Genomic DNA, 17,833 nt, shown 5'->3' on the forward strand with positions numbered 1-17,833 from the left:
TCAGCCCAAAATCTCCTTAAGCTGATAGTCAACTTCAGCAAAGTCTCAGGATACAAAATCAATGTACAAAAATCACAAGCATTCTTATACACCAATAGCAGACAAACAGAGGGCCAAATCATGAGTGAACTCCCATTCACAATTGCTTCAAAGAGAATAAAATACCCAGGAATCCAACTTACAAGGGATGTGAAGGATCTCTTCAAGAAGAACTACAAACCACTGCTCAATGAAATAAAAGAAGACACAAACAAATGGAAGAACATTCCATGCTCATGGGTAGGAAGAATCAATATTGTGAAAATGGCCAAACTGCCCAAGGTAATTTATAGATTCAATGCCATCCCCATCAAGCTACCAATGACTTTCTTCACAGAATTGGAAAAAACTACTTTAAAGTTCATATGGAATCAAAAAAGAGCCCGCATTGCCAAATCAATCCTAAGCCAAAAGAACAAAGCTGGAGGCATCATGCTACCTGACTTCAAACTATACTGCAAGGCTACAGTAACCAAAACAGCATGGTACTGGTACCAAAACAGAGATATAGACCAATGGAACAGAAGAGAGCCCTCAGAAATAATGCCGCATATCTACAACCATCTGATCTTTGACAAAACTGACAAATACAAGAAATGGGGAAAGGATTCCCTATTTAATAAATGGTGCTGGGAAAACTGGCTAGCCACATGTAGAAAGCTGAAACTGGATCCCTTCCTTAAACCTTATACAAAAATTAATTCAAGATGTATTAAAGACTTAAATGTTAGACCTGAAACCATAAAAACCCTAGAAGAAAACCTAGGCAATACCATTCAGGACATAGGCATAGGCAAGGACTTCATGTCTAAAACACCAAAAGCAATGGCAACAAAAGCCAAAATTGACAAATGGGTTCTAATTAAACTAAAGAGCTTCTGCACAGCAAAAGAAACTACCATCAGAGTGAACAGGCAACCTACAAAATGGGAGAAAATTTTTGCAATCTACTCATCTGACAAAGGGCTAATACCCAGAATCTACAATGAACTCAAACAAATTTACAAGAAAAAAACAAACAACCCCATCAAAAAGTGGGCAAAGGATATAAACAGACACTTCTCAAAAGAAGACATTTATGCAGCCAAAAGACACATGAAAAAATGCTCATCATCACTGGCCATCAGAGAAATGCAAATCAAAACCACAATGAGATACCATCTCACACCAGTTAGAATGGCGATCATTAAAAAGTCAGGAAACAACAGGTGCTGGAGAGGATGTGGAGAAATAGGAACACTTTTACACTGTTGGTGGGACTGTAAACTAGTTCAACCATTGTGGAAGTCAGTGTGGCGATTCCTCAGGGATCTAGAACTAGAAATACCATTTGACTCAGCCATCCCACTACTGGGTATATACCCAAAGGATTATAAATCATGCTGCTATAAAGACACATGCACATCTATGTTTATTGTGGCACTACTCACAATAGCAAAGACTTGGAACCAACCCAAATGTCCAACAATGGTAGACTGGATTAAGAAAATGTGGCACATATACACCATGGAATACTATGCAGCCATAAAAAATGATGAGTTCATGTCCTTTGTAGGGACATGGATGAAGCTGGAAACCATCATTCTCAGCAAACTATCGCAAGGACAAAAAACCAAACACCGCATGTTCTCACTCATAGGTAGGAATTGAACAATGAGAACACTTGGACACAGGAAAGGGAACATCACACACCGGGGCCTGTCATGGGGTGGGGGAGGGGGCAGGGATAGCATTAGGAGATACACCTAATGTTAAATGATGAGTTAATGGGTGCAGTACACCAACATGGCACATGTATACATATGTAACTAACCTGCACGTTGTGCACGTGTACCCTAAAATTTAAAGTATAATTTAAAAAAAAACCTAAATAATCATACAAATGTTTGCTAGTTAGGTGGCATTTACTCAGATTTGATAAGTCAGTTGCATCCTGTTTAAAAAACTAACTAAATATATATATATATATATATATATATTTTAAAATCTCCAATGTAAACTATTTTCCCTGAACTCCTCCCCCACCACCCCCCACACATACCCATTCTCCTCTCTTCTTCCCTGAAGCTGGGCAGAATGCCAGGGATGTATTAGAGTCAGGAAAAGTGACACCTGCCATTTCTACCATGCTTTCGTGACATCAGAAAAAAGGAGAATGGATTGGGGAGGCTAGAAAACTGCACTGGCCTTTGACAAAACTGGGACACAGATTGCATATGTGTCACAGTTTTTTTGCATATGTGCATATGGTGATTAGAATTAGAGCATTCCATCAGCTGAGAGCTGCAGCATCACAGAGTTAAAGTGCTAGAACAATTTAAACACAATTCCTCCTTGCTTCTTGTTACAGGAAAGCCTCCCTCACTCACATCCCCAACCCAGCCCCCTCTGTTAGGCCACCTGAGTGTCCTCTGCAGGGCTGGACTCCAAAGAGAGGGGTTCCGTCGCTTCCTGTTCATCAGGATGGAGAGGAAGAGCTGATGGGGGAGTGGAAGCGTGGGGGCTGTGCTTTATCCCCACCCCCATCCGGTCCAGCCTGCAGTGGGCACAGCCCCTCCATCTGAATTCCTCATATCTAATTTGTGATCCCTGGACGCCAGGCCTGGTTCATCATCCCGGGATGGGTTGGGAGCTGCAAGAACTCCTTTGTCATCATCTGGCAGGACTGCAGTCCTTCCCGAAGCACACGACTCAGCTGTCTATGGAGAGCAGGTCACAGAAAAGTCTGGAATAACTGCAGCGAGGTCCAAAACTCACATCCAGAACATCTCTGCACCCTGGATTTCTGAAAGCCCCATCATAATTCATGTTCCCCACTGTCACTGCTAGAGAGAGCCTTCTAAAATAATAATGCCACACCAGAACAATACGAACGATACAAACAGAAAGAAAGAAAGAAATAGAACAGGAAACGATCAGGGAGCACTCATCTATGCTCCAGGCCTGTGTGAAGCATTTTACTTAAAGTGTCTCACTAAATCCTCATGACTGCCCTGTTCACATGGATATGATTAGTATCCACATTACCCACATCCTTATGTCCATGCTGTCATCCTTATTATCATCCACAAACAGTACGCTGACATAGACGGAGAGAGGATGATGGGTCCTGGCCACACAGCTAGGAGTTAACCCAGGAGGGCCAGGCTCCAGCACCCATGTCCTGTTCATCATTCCTGACCTAGGCATTGAGTACTAGCTATGATGCCGACCTGCTCTTAGAACCCTCCTGCTGGCCAGCATCCCAGCTCCTCAGCCTGGCACATAGGGTTCCTCGTGGTCCAGCTCTCCCACATCCATCCCCTCCTCCCTCCTGCATGCTTCCCACATCCTTGGATGAGTCAGCCCATGCCCCTGAGGCTCCCTGTACCTCAACTCTCTCTGTGCCTCGTGCATCCACTCATCCTTGAAGGGCTGGTTCAAGGTTCACTTTCTTGGCAGTGGTAAATGGCCCTTCTTTCTCTTGGGACTCTCAGCCCCCGCATGCTCTCCAAATCCAGCTCCACCTCCCTGTGTTACATGAATGTGCTTTTGTTCATCCCACAAGACGGAGCACTTTCCTAGTATAGGAACACTGTCTCACTGTCTAGTACTCCCTGTTCCCAGCACCTAGGAGAGAAACTGAAACAAAGTACTCAAGAATTGTTTAGGACTGGGTATAAACCCAGAAGAAGTAGAATAAGAGACTCACACAGATTTTGCATACTCATGTTCACTGCAGCATTCTTCGCAATAGCCAAAAGGTAGAAGCAACACAAATGTCCATCACCAGATGACTGGATAATGTGCGGCATGCCCATACAATGGAACAGTATTCAGCCTTAAAATGGAAGGAAATTCTGACACAGCTACAACATAAATTAACCTTGAGGACATTGTTGCCAAGCAAAATAAGCCAGTCACAAAAGGATAAACAAATACTGTATTATTCCTCTCCTATGAGGTTCCTTGCATAATCAAATTCATAGAGATACAAAGTTGAATGGTGGTTGCCAGGGCAGGGAGAAAGGCAGGAACTGGGTTAGTTAAAATAGTTAGTGTTTAGTGGGTTCAGAGTTTCAGCTGGGGAAGCTTTAAAAGTTCTGGAGATGGATCATGGTGATGGTTCCACAACAATGTGAATGTACTTATGAAGACCAAAGAATTGTACATTTAAAATGGCTAAAATGATTTATTTTATATTATGCATATTTTACCAAAATTGAAAAAAATTAAAAAGGTTTTTGGTAAAGTGAATGAATGAATGAAGACTTGGGCCACTGCAAGAATCCCCTGGAATCGTCTCTCTACTGTAAGCCTCTCCTAACTCCAATCCATTGCCCTCACACATAATTAGATGCCTGTCCCCTGCAATCACCCTTTTCTTTCCCAAAAGCATAAAGACAAATGTCTTAATCCAGCACACAAGGACCCTCTCAGCAGGGGGAACACTGACCTCCCCATGAAAGGAAAGGAATGCTTAGTCAACCTCCTCATCTCCCCAGAAGTTCACTAATAAGCCTTTAACACGTTTATACTACACACTACTCTATATACTATTTTAGGTGCAGGGAGTAAAAGTCACTTAAGTCCTGGACCAAGTTTTGGTGCTCTCAAGCCAGCAGATACGAAAAGCACTCTGCCAATCATTTAACCCTGTCATTAATTACTGCTAGAAACACCTACTAGGCGTCAAGCACTCTGCTAAGATCTCCACATCTCTTCACCCATTTTATCCCCACAAAACACCATGAAATAGGTTTTCTTATAATATAGGGAAATACAGGCAGACTGAGCTCAAAGAGATTAAACCAACCCTTCAGCTAGAGTGAGACAGAACCATGATTCAATTCTAGAGCACTCTCAAGGGAGTAATCCAGGCATGAGTGACAGATAGAGAAAATGAACCAGAGAGGTGGAATGACCCTTCTGATGACACAAAGTAATTAAGGACTCATCCCAGAACCTCCTCATCTCCCCAGCAGTCAGGAAGTTTCATTGCTGCTTTGGCCTCAAAATCAGCAAAGGCAGCTGCAAAGGCAGAAGGCACAGCCTCCTTTCAGACCAGAGAAAAGGGAAGGTGCTTTAAACTGTGCTTGCGACCAAGAGCCCTTCAGGTGATTTTAAAGGGCCTTTGGCACTCAAATGGTTCTTAGAACATATCCATGTAGACCCCTGGGAGAGAGGAGGATACCTGAGTTGACCATTGAGCAAGAGATTATGACACTCAGTAGAAACTTCACGTATGGCATAATGAGGTGGATAATTCAAGTTTCACTTGGGAGAAGGGACATGAAGAAGAAAGATGCCACAGGCCCCCTCCAATGTCCAAGGCCTTCAGTGCTGTACAACCGAGTTCAGATATTCCTGCTTGCTCATTTGTTTAATTAAGCATGCATGCCCACAAACACATATGCACACAACTATGCATCCCCATAGACATGTCAGCACACAAGCATGTATGCCCACAAACATATGTGTAAACAGCTATGCATACCCAAACACGTGTGCATCCAAACATGCATGCACAAATCCCATGGCCCCAGCTGTATGCTAGGTATAGTGAATTCAGAACTGAGTATAATGAGGTCTGTATATTGATATATCAGTGACATTTTCTTCCTTACATTCCATGCTTCAATAGAAGTACACTGATTCTTAAAATACGCATTCATTTATTTATTTATTCTTTAAAAGCTTGTCCCATGACGAATAGTTGAAGAAACTGAGGCTCTTAGAGCTTGAAAGACTTGGAGTCCTGATAAAGCTCAAAGGAAAATCCAGAACTAAGGGCTGGAAGGTAGAAGGTGGCTGCCCCACTGAAGCACAGCTTTCTGACCACAGAGCTGTTCAATGGGGGAATTGGCTCTCATGAAGCCTTGGGTTTCCCAGCTCTAGAGACGTGCAGGCAGGAAGACACATGCAGACACTGCTATACACTATAGCTGTCAAGAACAGCCAAACCCAGGCAAAGACACTCTGATCTCAGCTTTTCAGGCACAAAGCTTGACCTCCAGACCACAGGTGGATCTTAAAAGGGCCTCAGGACTCTGAAAGTCTCCAGAGCTAACTCTGTCCCACCTCTGGTCTCTGTTGACAGCCATGGATGGCTGAACTGAAGCTGCAGGAACTGTCTTCACCTCTTACACTGAGCCACAGCCAACACGGTAAAATGAATGTGATGAACTTTGGCTTATCATACCCTGCTTTCACCGCCAGTGCCCAAGGGGAAGGCCCTGCCCTGGCCAGGTACCTTCTACCACACAAGCACCCCACGTTCTTCCTTGCCCTTGACTAAGTCCACAACCATTCCATCACCTCCCAAACGTGTCTACTGTGTCCCCTGGAACTCCCACCTCATAATCAGAAAATGTCTCCAAATATTCTTGCATCTCCCTGCCTGAGATAAAGAAAACCTGCATTCCCTGAGGACTCTGGCTCTCTGCAGCCCCCTGCAGTGCACTGGTTTGGTTGTTTCCTCTTATCTGAAACACCACTGGACAGGAGGGGGGTTTAGGAGCTCCTTTCTTTCCATGGCCCTTCCAGATCATTGCTGCCTGACCCTTTCACCCAATGCAGATCTTCGAGGCTTGTGCCATTTAGTTATACTCCCTCCAGCACCTCTGGCTGCTGTGCTGATGAGAATGGGATGAGGAGGGAGGCAGACGGAGGCTAGGGAGAGGCAGTGACAGGCATCCAGGTGAGAGAGGACAGTGGCTTAGACTGGACGGCAGCAGTGAAGATGCTGAGAAGAGCTGCAGGATTTGAGGTATCTTACGAATGTGAGCCAAAATCATTGCCTGAGGATTTACAAAAGATAAGAAGTGTCAAGGGAGAAGATACCATGTCAAGAATGACTCTGGGGTTCAGTCCTGTGGGGCTGCCTGTAATTCTCAATGGCAAGGTGGCCAATGCAGTGCAATGAAAGATGCCCAACAGAGAATCACAGCCCATCGTAACCCGGCGCCAGCTCGCCTCTCCAGCAGCCATGGTGGCCTCACTTCATTTTCTGAAATAATCTGTCCCCACCTCGGGGTTGCACGACTGCCCTTCCTTTGGCCTTTTTCCTCCCACCTGCGCTTGGCTATTTCTTAATTAACCTTCAGGTCTCCTGTTAAATGTTACGTCCTCAAAGACGCTTTTCCGAACCCTCAGTCTAAATTAGGAGTCTCTTGCTACACTTTCTTTCTTTCTTTTTTTTTTTTTTTTGTTAAGGAGTCTCGCTCTGTCGCCCAGGCTGGAGTGCAGTGGCGCGATCTCAGCTCACTGCAATCTCCGCCTCCCAGGTTCATGACATTCGCCTGCCTCAGCCTCCCGAATAGCTGGGACTACAGGTGCCTGCAACCACACCCAGCTAATTTTTTGTATTTTTAGTAGAGACGGGGTTTCACCGTGTTAGCCAGGATGGTCTCGATCTCCTGACCTCGTGATCTGCCTGCCTCGGACTCCCAAAGTGCTGGGATTACAGGCGTGAGCCACCGCGCCTGGCTTCTTGCTACACTTTCTATGGCCACCTGCACTTTACATCATAGCATGTATTTCAAACTGAATGATCCACTTGGAAAAGGGAGTTTGGGTTTTATGCTTGTTCTCCCACGGGACTGATGCTCCGGAAGAGCAGGGACTGTTCTGTTTGGGTCATAACCATGAAAGCAGCATCCAGCACTGTGTCAGCAATGCAGTTGACAATAAATACTGTTTTACTGTTGGATAAGTGGAGGATGAGGGTCAGAATAGTTCAGCCCAGCTCAGGTAACTTTTCAACAAGCTTTGGCTGAGCCTCATTCTGTGCCAGCCTGAGTGGCAAGCCCAGGAAACAGAGGAGTTGATGGATGAGACCTGGCTGCAAGGCCCTGCTGTGTCACAGTGAGGTGATTAGCATAAGTGGTAGGACAAAGGAGAGCATGGGGGAGGCTCCTCAAACAGGATCAGCCGTCAGAAAGTTTCCTGAAATAAGTGACATCTGAGCAGAGACAAAAGGCATGAGCAGGAGTTGGCGAGAGAACACTGCAGATGGAAAGAGTGCTTGTAGCAGCAGCAGGGCCAGGGGCAAAGCTTGGAGGTAACAGAGTCTATGTAACTCCGGGTAATTCTAAACGGACAGGGTGGGCAGTAGACTGACTGCAAGTCAGCCACCATAATCACAGTGGAAACCCTTGTTTTGCCAGTGTGGTACCCCAACCCATTTGTTCAAGCCCCTTTGACATGGTATGTGAGGACTCTGTGATATTAACTCAGTCTCCTGTCCAACTCTATCTGAAGCCACTCACTGCCCCCAAACCACCCAGCCATGTGGCGACGACAATGGACATCCCAAAACTGAGAGGAGGGGAGAGTATCTTCTGACCATGACTTTCAGTCATTCCTGAATTCGCCAAAGGAAAATCAGACTCTGCCTTGGAAGGGCTCCCATAACATCCTGCATGATGATCTCTACTGCCTCAGTTTCTCCATCTGAGAAGGTGGATGTGGACAGGACTTGCCTGTGTTCTATGATTAAGTTATATGTTTTGCAATCCATCCATCTGACAAAGGTCTAATATCCAGAGTCTACAAGGAACTTAAATAAATTTACAAGAAAAAAACAACCCCATTAAAAACTGGGCAAAGGACGTGAACAGACACTTCTCAAAAGAAGACATTCATGTGACCAACAAACACATGAAAACAAGCTCAACATCACTGATTAGAGAAATGCAAATCAAAACCACAATGAGATACCATCTCACGCCAGTCAGAATGGTGATTATTAAAAAGTCAAAAACAACAGGTGCTGGCAAGGTTGCAGATAAAAAGGAACACTTTTACACTGTTGGTGGGAATGTACATTAGTTCAACCATTGTGGAAGACAGTGTGGCAATTCCTCAAAGATCTACAGCCAGAAATACCATTTGACCCAGCAATCCCATTACTGGGCATACAACCAAGGAAATATAAATCATTCTATTATAAAGGTACATGCACATGTTTGTTCACAATAGCAGTTCACAAATGCAGCACTATTCCCAATAGCAAAGACGTGGAATCAACCCAAATGCCAATCAATGATAGACTGGGTAAAGAAAATGTGTTACATATATACCATGAAATACTATGCAGCCATAAAAAGGAAGGAGATCATGTCCTTTGCAGGGACGTGGATGGAGCTGGAAGCTGTTATCCTCAGCAAACTAACACAGAAATAGAAAATCAGACATCACACGTTCTCACTTATAAGTGGGAGCTGAGCAATGAGAACACATGGACACATAGGGGGAATGACACACTGGGGCCTGTCGGGGGGTCAGAGGTGGTGACGGGGAGAATATCAGGAAGAATAGCCAATGAACACTGGGCTTAATACCTAGGTGATGGGTTGATCTGTGCAGTACACCACTGTGGCACACATTTACCTATGTAACAAAGCTTCACACCCTGCACATGTACCCTGGAACTTAAAATAAATGTTGAAGAAAATAAAAAATTATATCATGTGAAATGTTCAACTGAAGGCCTGGCAGGTAGCAAGCACTCACCAATGTCCATTATAATCACATTGTATGATAATATGTGTCTGTTTCTATCATGAGGCTTTAGAAGCCCGAGAAAAAGATTTTGTGTTTTCACTTCTTGGTCACTAATATCTAGCACCCTGATTGGTACATAGGTATCAATTACAGTTTGGTAAGTGAATAAATACATGAACAAAAGGAAGAATGAATGGAGGAATGAACAAAAGGAAGAATGAATGAATGAATGAATGAATGAATGAAGGCAGGTGTGAGTAGGAGAGTGTCTTCCCCAGGAGGACCTGGCTCCTCACTCAGGGAATGGGACTTGACAGAATGTCTCAGTAACATCATGTCCTAATCCACCTAAGTCATGGGTCTCGATGCTTTCTATATGAAAGGCTGGAAATGGAGCTCTGCACTTCACAACACAAATCATCCCTTCCTGTGGTATCAATGATCCATGAGCCTGTCATTGGCTGAGCCTCAAAGTGAGAGAACAAAAGAGATGGCAATGCTTATAGAAGTCTGGGATCCTTAACCCTGGCATCATAGCCTATGACACTGAGGCTTAAAAGTCCCACAGGTCACCTCTGCATGAGCGTAGTGCATGGAAACCCAAGCTTCTGAAAGATCACAAGAAGGAAACAGCCAAAAGGAATGGTGCCCAGTCAGGATTGCACACAAAGACAGTCTGCTGCTTTTATAATTAACAGCCCTCTCATAACCCCTTGAGATTTTTTATTTTTATTCTTAAGATGATACAAGTTGCAGTCGTCAGTCACCTACCATCATCACTCTGCTTGCTGATCTCCAGAGGACGGAAAGTCAGGGCCTGAGCCAATCACACCTGTTCTAGGACAATCAGACTGGTAGGGATCAATATGACCTTAGAGATTCCCCAATCTGATCTCACAACGGGCAGCCAAGCTCTGCCTCAGACCAGCAGGGTTACCTCGAGTAAGTTACATCATGCTTCTGTGTCTTGGTTCCCTTACCTACAAAACGGAGGTAGAATTATAGTCCTGATTTCATGAGGTTAAGAAATAAATGAGATAATAAATATGAAGTCTGGAAGAGTACCAAGCTCACAGTAAATGTTCAGTGACTGTTGGCTAATTCTACTATGACTATTTTTACTGTTGTTATCCCAGTGGTTCAAATATGTACAATGAGGTCCTCATGTTCCAAGGAGAAGGCTCAAAGTTGCCCCCCATGCAACAACAATCAGATTAGTTCTTCTTTTTCCTCCTCTTTTTTTTTTTTTTTTTTTTTTTTGAGAAGGAATTTCACTCTTGTTGCCCAGGCTGGAGTGCAATGGCTCCATCTCGGCTCACCGCAACCTCCACTTCCCAGGTTCAAGCAATTTTCCTGTCTCAGCCTTCCGAGTAGCTGAGATTACAGGCATGCACCACCACACCCCGCTAATTTTTGTATTTTTAGTAGAGACAGGGTTTCTCCATGTTGGGCAGGCTGGTCTCGAACTCCTGACCTCAGGTGATCCGCCCACCTCGGCCTCCCAAAGTGCGGAGATTACAGGCGTGAGCCACCGCACCTGGCCTTTTTTCCTCTTTTATACATCGGTTTGCTTTATAAAATTCAACACGACAAAAGAAAATAAACACTTTATAAACAACAATGCTTTAAGACCTGTGACTCAATCCTTCACCATTTTCTTCCCTGGCAGTAGCTTTCCTAGACTCCCAACTATATTAACACATCTTCTTCTGGTAAGGACACTAATGACTGCCCACAACAACCCTTTTCATTGAGGACAATTCATTAGAAAACAGTTTCTGGTAGTGAACCTTTAAAATCTACCTTCTTTTCACTTTCAGTCTTAGTTCTGGACTTAAGAGAAACTAAGAGTGAATCCAATTGATCTTCCTGGGAAACCATTTGTGATCACAAAATTGTGCTTGCACAGCTCTGACTCATCTCCAATTCATTTAATTACTTCTTTTAGGACATGGTTGGGGCATAATTGGCCAGGCTTAGAGTGCCCAGGTTTGTCAACACGTGCCCAGTGTCCTGGACTTTAAACATGGATGGGGAAGCCCAGAGATCTGTCTGGAGCAGAGAGTTGTGGCCAGGGCCCAGGCCCCTCTGGCACCAGACTAGATGAGGCCAGCCAAAATGGGCAGGCAGGAGGTCATCCAAAAGTCATCATTCACCATGTAACCCTAGGGTGACCAACTCATTGCAGTTTGCCTGGGACTTTCGTGGTCTTAGCACTGAAAGTCTTACATTCCAGGAAACCCCCTTCAGTTCACCTGGGCTAATGCCCCTTGTGAAGTAGCAGCAACAAAAGCAAAGGATGTACCTCTGTGCCTCCTCACTTCTTCACTGTTCAATAAGGTTGGGAGCTGTTTGGGAATAGGGACCCAGAACATGTGTTTTGGAAGGGAAACTCCATGCCTTTGGAGAAAGAATGTAGACTTGGAAGTGAGACAGACTTGGAACAGGATCCTGCACCCTTCACAGAGTACCCTGCATGGCTTCAAGTAAGTTATTTTGCTTTACTCTGTTGAAGGCTGTTTACTCATGTGTAAAACAGAACAGATAGTATCTGCTTCTCCAGGATAATTAAACGAAATGATGTAGATAAAATGTCTAGCACAATCCCTAGGATATAGCAGGATATAGTAGGGATTAAGGAAGGCTGGTTCTTTCTTTTTCACTTTTTCTTTCTTTCTTAAATTCCCCAACATTTGACATACGGCTGGCCACAAATGACATATTTGATATGTGTATGATGAGAGATAAAATAGATGAATGAATGAATGAGTGAATGAGTGAATGAATGAATACTTATGTGTGAGGATAGATGGATGGACAGACAAACTCTCAATAGAGGTAGTTTTGTGGCTCATACAGGCCCACTTTTCTGCAGGCTGAGATGAGCAAAGCAGAGCCAGAAATGGAAAGCATGTTCAAGAATCCATAAGTTCTGCAGTGAGCCAGATTCAGGTTTCAATCCCGGACATACCATTCACCTGCCATAGTGTTCCCTCAGACAAATTATGGGATAAACATCTTCATGATGATGATCAAGAATATCCACATAGCTAAAATTTATTGAGAACAATACACACAATTTTTTGTCCACAAAAGACCTGTGAGGTGGACTCTATCGTTATTCTCCATGTTCAGATGAGAGAGATTAAGTACCTTGGCCATGACCACCATCGCTCAGATGTCCTGAAGTAAAGACTACACTCAGTCACTCTGATATCAGATGCCAGGACCCAAATCCCAGTCCCCAAGCAAACTCCTTTGGATTTCCTTTGTGTACTCATCTGAGAAGTTTCCTCATTCTCATGATATTTCAAAGATGAAACCCAGAATATGTTACATGAAGTGCTTCATGTAAACAGACAGCAAAACATACTATCCCGTTCTTTCACCTAAGTCAACATTCCCATGCCGTTATTCAAAAGGAGGCCAATAGACAAGGGCACAAGGCAACCAACCATTCCAACCCTCTAATCAAATCCAGCTTAGGACAATTTTGCAAATCAATCCTTTTGATGCATGAAAGGAGGTGGCTTGGGGAAAATAACCATTCTCCAAGAGATGCTCACTGGGACACTAGAATCAGGAATTGTAAATAGGTTTTCTACAACACACACACACACACACACACACACACATCTGTGACACACGTGGAGAAATATTGCTGCTGTAAAAATCCCAAGAGAGAGATATTGTAGGCTGTATCTGAAGGACTAATGTTCCATTGAATACACTGGAATATTTGGTTGTGAAACAGAAAAGGCCTTGATTAGGAATCAGAAAGCTGAGATTCTGAGAGGATTCTTCCACCTCCCAGCTGTTTATCTATTGAAGGCAAAGCTTCTTTTTCCTATGCCCTGTTTCCTTATTCATACATTAAGGAAGCTAAGCTGTGTGATATATAAGCTAATTCCCAGAACTTCCACATTTTATACCTGTATACTTGTCATTCCTATTGCCTTGTATACCTTGTGGTGCCTACCCACCACCAGATAATGTCCATGGTCTTCATATCTAATGTCGTTGCCATATAACCTGCTTACCTCCCCAAAGTCATCATTCACCATGTAACCCTAGGGTGACCAACTCAATGCAGTTTGCCTGGGACTTTCATGGTCTTAGCCCTGAAAGTCTTACATTATGGGAAACCCCCTTCAGTCCTGACAAAATCCATACAGAATCTACCCAAAATTTTGTTACTTCACATATAAGGCATGCCTTTTTATGCTTTTCCAAATTGTGTTCCCTCTACACAAAACTAGCAGATGTCACCTGTACAGGCTGAATTGTGTCCCCTTCAAAGAGATATGCTCAAGTCCTAACTCCTAGTACCTCAGAATGTGGCATTATTTGGAAACAGGGTCTTTATAGAGTCTAAGAAAGCCCAATAGAGTTAAAACAAGGCCATTAGGGTGGTCCCTGATCCAATCTGACTGGTGTCCTTATAAAAGGGGAAGTTTGGACACAGAGGCTGATGTGCAGAGGGAAGATCCTGTGAAGAGACAGGTAGAACACTATGTGAAGGTGAAGGCAGAAACTGTAGTAATGCACTGAAAAGCCAAGGCACATCAGAGATTAACAGAAAAGACACCAGAAGCCAGGATAAAGGCATGGAACGGATCCTCGCAGTCCTGAGAAAGAAGAAATGCCACTTACACCTTGATTTCAGACCTCTAGACCCAACAACTGTGACACAACACATTTCTGTTGCTTCATACACCCAGTTTTGGATACTTTGTAACAGCAACCCTAGAAAACCAAGACACCACAAATTCCTACATGCTTAGGGCAGATCTTTTTTTTTTTTTTTTTTTTTTTTAAGATGGAATCTCACTCTGTTGCTCAGGCTGGAGCGCAGTGGTACAATCTCACCTCATGGCAACTTCTGCCTCCCAGGTTCAAGCAATTCTCCTGCCTCAGTCTTCCCAGTAGCTGGGACTACAGGCATGTGCTACCATGCCCAGCTAATTTTTGTATTTTTAGTACAGAAAGGGTTTCACCATGTTGACCAGATTGGTCTTGAACTCCTCACCTCAGGTGATCTGTCCGCCTCGGCCTCCCAAAGTGCTGGGATTACAGGTGTAAGCCACTACGTTCGACCAGATTATTTTTTTATTAACTAAGTACTTTTCTGACTGATCCTGTATGGAACCTTGGAAACACTGACATAATGCTCTGTGCATAATACTCTAGGTCTAGAAGGGGCCACATGAAGGCTGACTGATTACAGACATTGGGAAACCATTGGCACCCAGACAGTGTTTAAACCCATGAAACAGTTTCACCCAGGCAATGAAGCTTTGCCAATTTGACTGTTTAAAGGCCAAGATTTTTACTGGGATGCATTTTAATAATAAGTAGGGGGTTAATTGCTTTAAATATCAAATCTGAATGATAAATGTTTGAGGTGATGTGTATCCCAATTACTTCAGTTTGATCATTATACATTGTATGCATGTATCAAAATATCAGGTGTACCCCATAGATGTGTACAACTGTCTAAAATAAACATCACCTTGTAAATATTATAAATAAACAAAAAATATCAAGAACCATGCACAGTCTTATGACTAGCTTCTGTTTTTCCCTTGTATTCAGTAAACAAAACTTGGCTGATGGACCTTGGGTTCCTCCTGGGAGCCAGGCATCCATTCATCTTCTCTCCTTTCACTCTCCCTGACCCTCTGTCTCTAAACACTTGAGTCTAAAGATTTATCTCAGTTAGGGTGGAGGGAGACAGAAAGAAATCCCATTTTGGCATCCATGCCTATGTCTTACACTTATTGCTCAATCTGTTTTCCTCAATGCCCCCCACTAGGAGGGTATTGAGAATGTTCCCAGCTATAAATAAAGTACATTGGTTCCATTCCATTACTGTTTCTTATGGTTCTATAGCTCCCTAATTCAGGGAAGAGAGAAATCAGTAGTGAGACTTAAGTTTTATATAAACCTAACCCCAACATCTCAGAAACTACTCATCAATAGGATTTGGAGTGCAGTAGGAACTTTGTCACACTGCTCAGTACATGTCTCCTTCATCAATAGCCAGCTAACATAAGACACCTCATCCAATAAATGTGAATTAAAATATGTGAGTGCCAACTATGTTCTAGGCAGGCAATGCCTCTCCCTGCTACAATCTGCTCTTCACACTTCAGCCAAATGATGTTCTGACCCATATCCGATCACATCACTCCCCTACTTGAAACATTCCACACTCACACCTTCTGTACCATTCCTAGGAGAGAAAGTCCAAACTCCTATGCATGCTTTTCTACCTCCTCTAGGAAGCCTTCTCTGTCTCCGACCATATTGAGTAGTAAAACCGGGTTTATATGTCAGCTCCCCCAAGCACATGGTGAGATTTTCCTCTCAGGATCAGTTCTCATCCATATTTGCACACAAGGCTCTCTGGCTGCTGCTCTCATCATATAGACAAATTATTTTTGCAAAGGCTATTCTTGACTCCTGAGCTGATATCAGGATCCTTTTTGGTCCTTATACCCTTGATTCCTCTGCAACATTTAGCCTTGGGATGCTCCCACCTTCTGGCTCTCACATTTCTTTGATTCTTTGAATTGTTTTTCCTAATTTTCCTTGCATCTCTCCAATAGCTCTAGCTGAGACTCTTTTGCAAGTTTCTTCACCTTCAAATATATATAAATTGTGAATTTTCTCTTTAGAGTCTGGTCTTACCAACAAAATAAAATTTAGACTTCATAATACTGGCTCTGGAGACAAACAGCTATGAATCCAAACCCTGTCATAGGGTGGCCAAGTGACCTTGGGCTTCAGTGTACTTATCTGTGAAATAATACCTATCTCACAGGTCTATGGATGGCATCAAGTGAGTTGATACAGTAAAAACTCCTGGCACAGTCTGAGCTCACACACCTGTGCTAGTGTTGTATAGTCACTGAGTGATTTCAGCCAAGCTCAATTACGGTTATGAGCTGATGAATCCCAGCCCAGATTCTCACCTGGCCTCTGCACTCAGATATCCCATTGCCTTTAGACCTATAAACTCACATCAACTCCTCTTGCTGCTTGATCCTCTTCTCCTTCAGCTTTATTGACTAATTCACCCAAGGGAACTTCTTAACCATCACTGCAACTTTTCCCTTCCCCTCAACACAATGCAAAAACACCAATTCTTTTCATTCCATTACCTCAGCAGTCCTCAATTATTCTCCTTCTGAGCTACCTTCACCTCTTTAATAATTTCTCCCCACGCCAGCTGTCATCCTCTTTGATTCTAATGTGTCATTTCTGTTACACATACAATCAAGCAACTCCCTTACTCAAATTGTTTCATAGTCTTCCTTTATCTATAGATACAATCCCAGCTCCAGAAGGGGACACACACACCCTTCATGATCAATCTCCCTGGAATCTGGCTAGCCCCATCCCTCCTACTCTATCAAAAACAAAACAAAACAAAACACTTGTATGCAGTACTCTTGAAAACCCTAGCACTACCCAGGAGATGACATGCCCTTTTCCATTTCTGTACCTTTGTGCATACCTTCTCAATGCCTGAGACCCCCTTCCAGTCTTTATCTGGCTTGTGAATGCCCTCTCTTCCAAGTAACCCATCCTGATACCTCCTGGGTGGGCGTTTTGGGAGTTCTCTGTCCTCCATCAACATCTTGTCCATGTTTAACTTCCATTTCTGACATCACTTTCTTGACTTCCACCTGTCTCTCTTACACTGTATCAGGAGCAACTTGAGTTCACAATTGTGTCTTTCTCATTGCTCTGCCCAGAATTCTTAGGATAGAGCCAACAAGAGCAAGAGCTCAAGGTCTCCTAAATGAGCAAATTGATGACAGTCTGTAAATCAATAAACGAAGGAAAATGACCCTGAGGTTTATCTTTCAAGGGGGGATTTGTATGAAAATGCCATGGGAGAAACATCACACATTCCTTTTGAGGAGGAAAACATCGGCAAGAAGTGAGTGAGCCAAAGGGGACTCTTTTCTCATTCACTCTCTTTTTTTCTAGGGTACATGTGCACAACATGCAGGTTTGTTACATATGTATACATGTGCCATGTTGGTGTGCTGCACCCATTAACTCGTCATTTACATTAGGTATATCTCCTAATGCTATCCCTCCCCCTTCCTCCCACCCTACAGCAGGCCCCGGTGTGTGATGTTCCCCTTCCTGTGTCCAAGTGTTCTCATTGTTCAATTTCCACAGAGAAATAGGAACACTTTTACACTGTTGGTGGGACTGTAAGCTAGTTCAACCATTGTGGAAGACAATGTAGCGATTCCTCAGAGATCTAGAACTAGAAATACCATTTGAC

At 43.5% G+C, this 17,833-nt stretch overlaps 1 protein-coding gene across 14 annotated transcripts in view, besides 1 other annotated feature; it reads right to left on the reverse strand.

The window, feature by feature from the left end:
* FAM135B (family with sequence similarity 135 member B) overlaps positions 1-17,833 on the reverse strand; it is a 367,708-nt gene that overhangs the window by 207,344 nt on the left and 142,531 nt on the right. The gene's annotated exons all lie outside the window — the stretch shown is intronic.
* Positions 7,546-8,045: an enhancer, noted in NCBI's record as "NANOG-H3K4me1 hESC enhancer chr8:139357155-139357654 (GRCh37/hg19 assembly coordinates)". NCBI's record gives its function as "activates a minimal SCP1, AML or CMV promoter by ChIP-STARR-seq in naive H9 embryonic stem cells {active_cell/tissue: H9 hESC(naive)}" and the evidence as "EXISTENCE:reporter gene assay evidence [ECO:0000049][PMID:30033119]".

The sequence above is a fragment of the Homo sapiens genome, chromosome 8, assembly GCF_000001405.40.
Source record: "Homo sapiens chromosome 8, GRCh38.p14 Primary Assembly".
In the NCBI taxonomy this organism is placed as follows: Eukaryota; Metazoa; Chordata; class Mammalia; order Primates; family Hominidae; genus Homo; species Homo sapiens.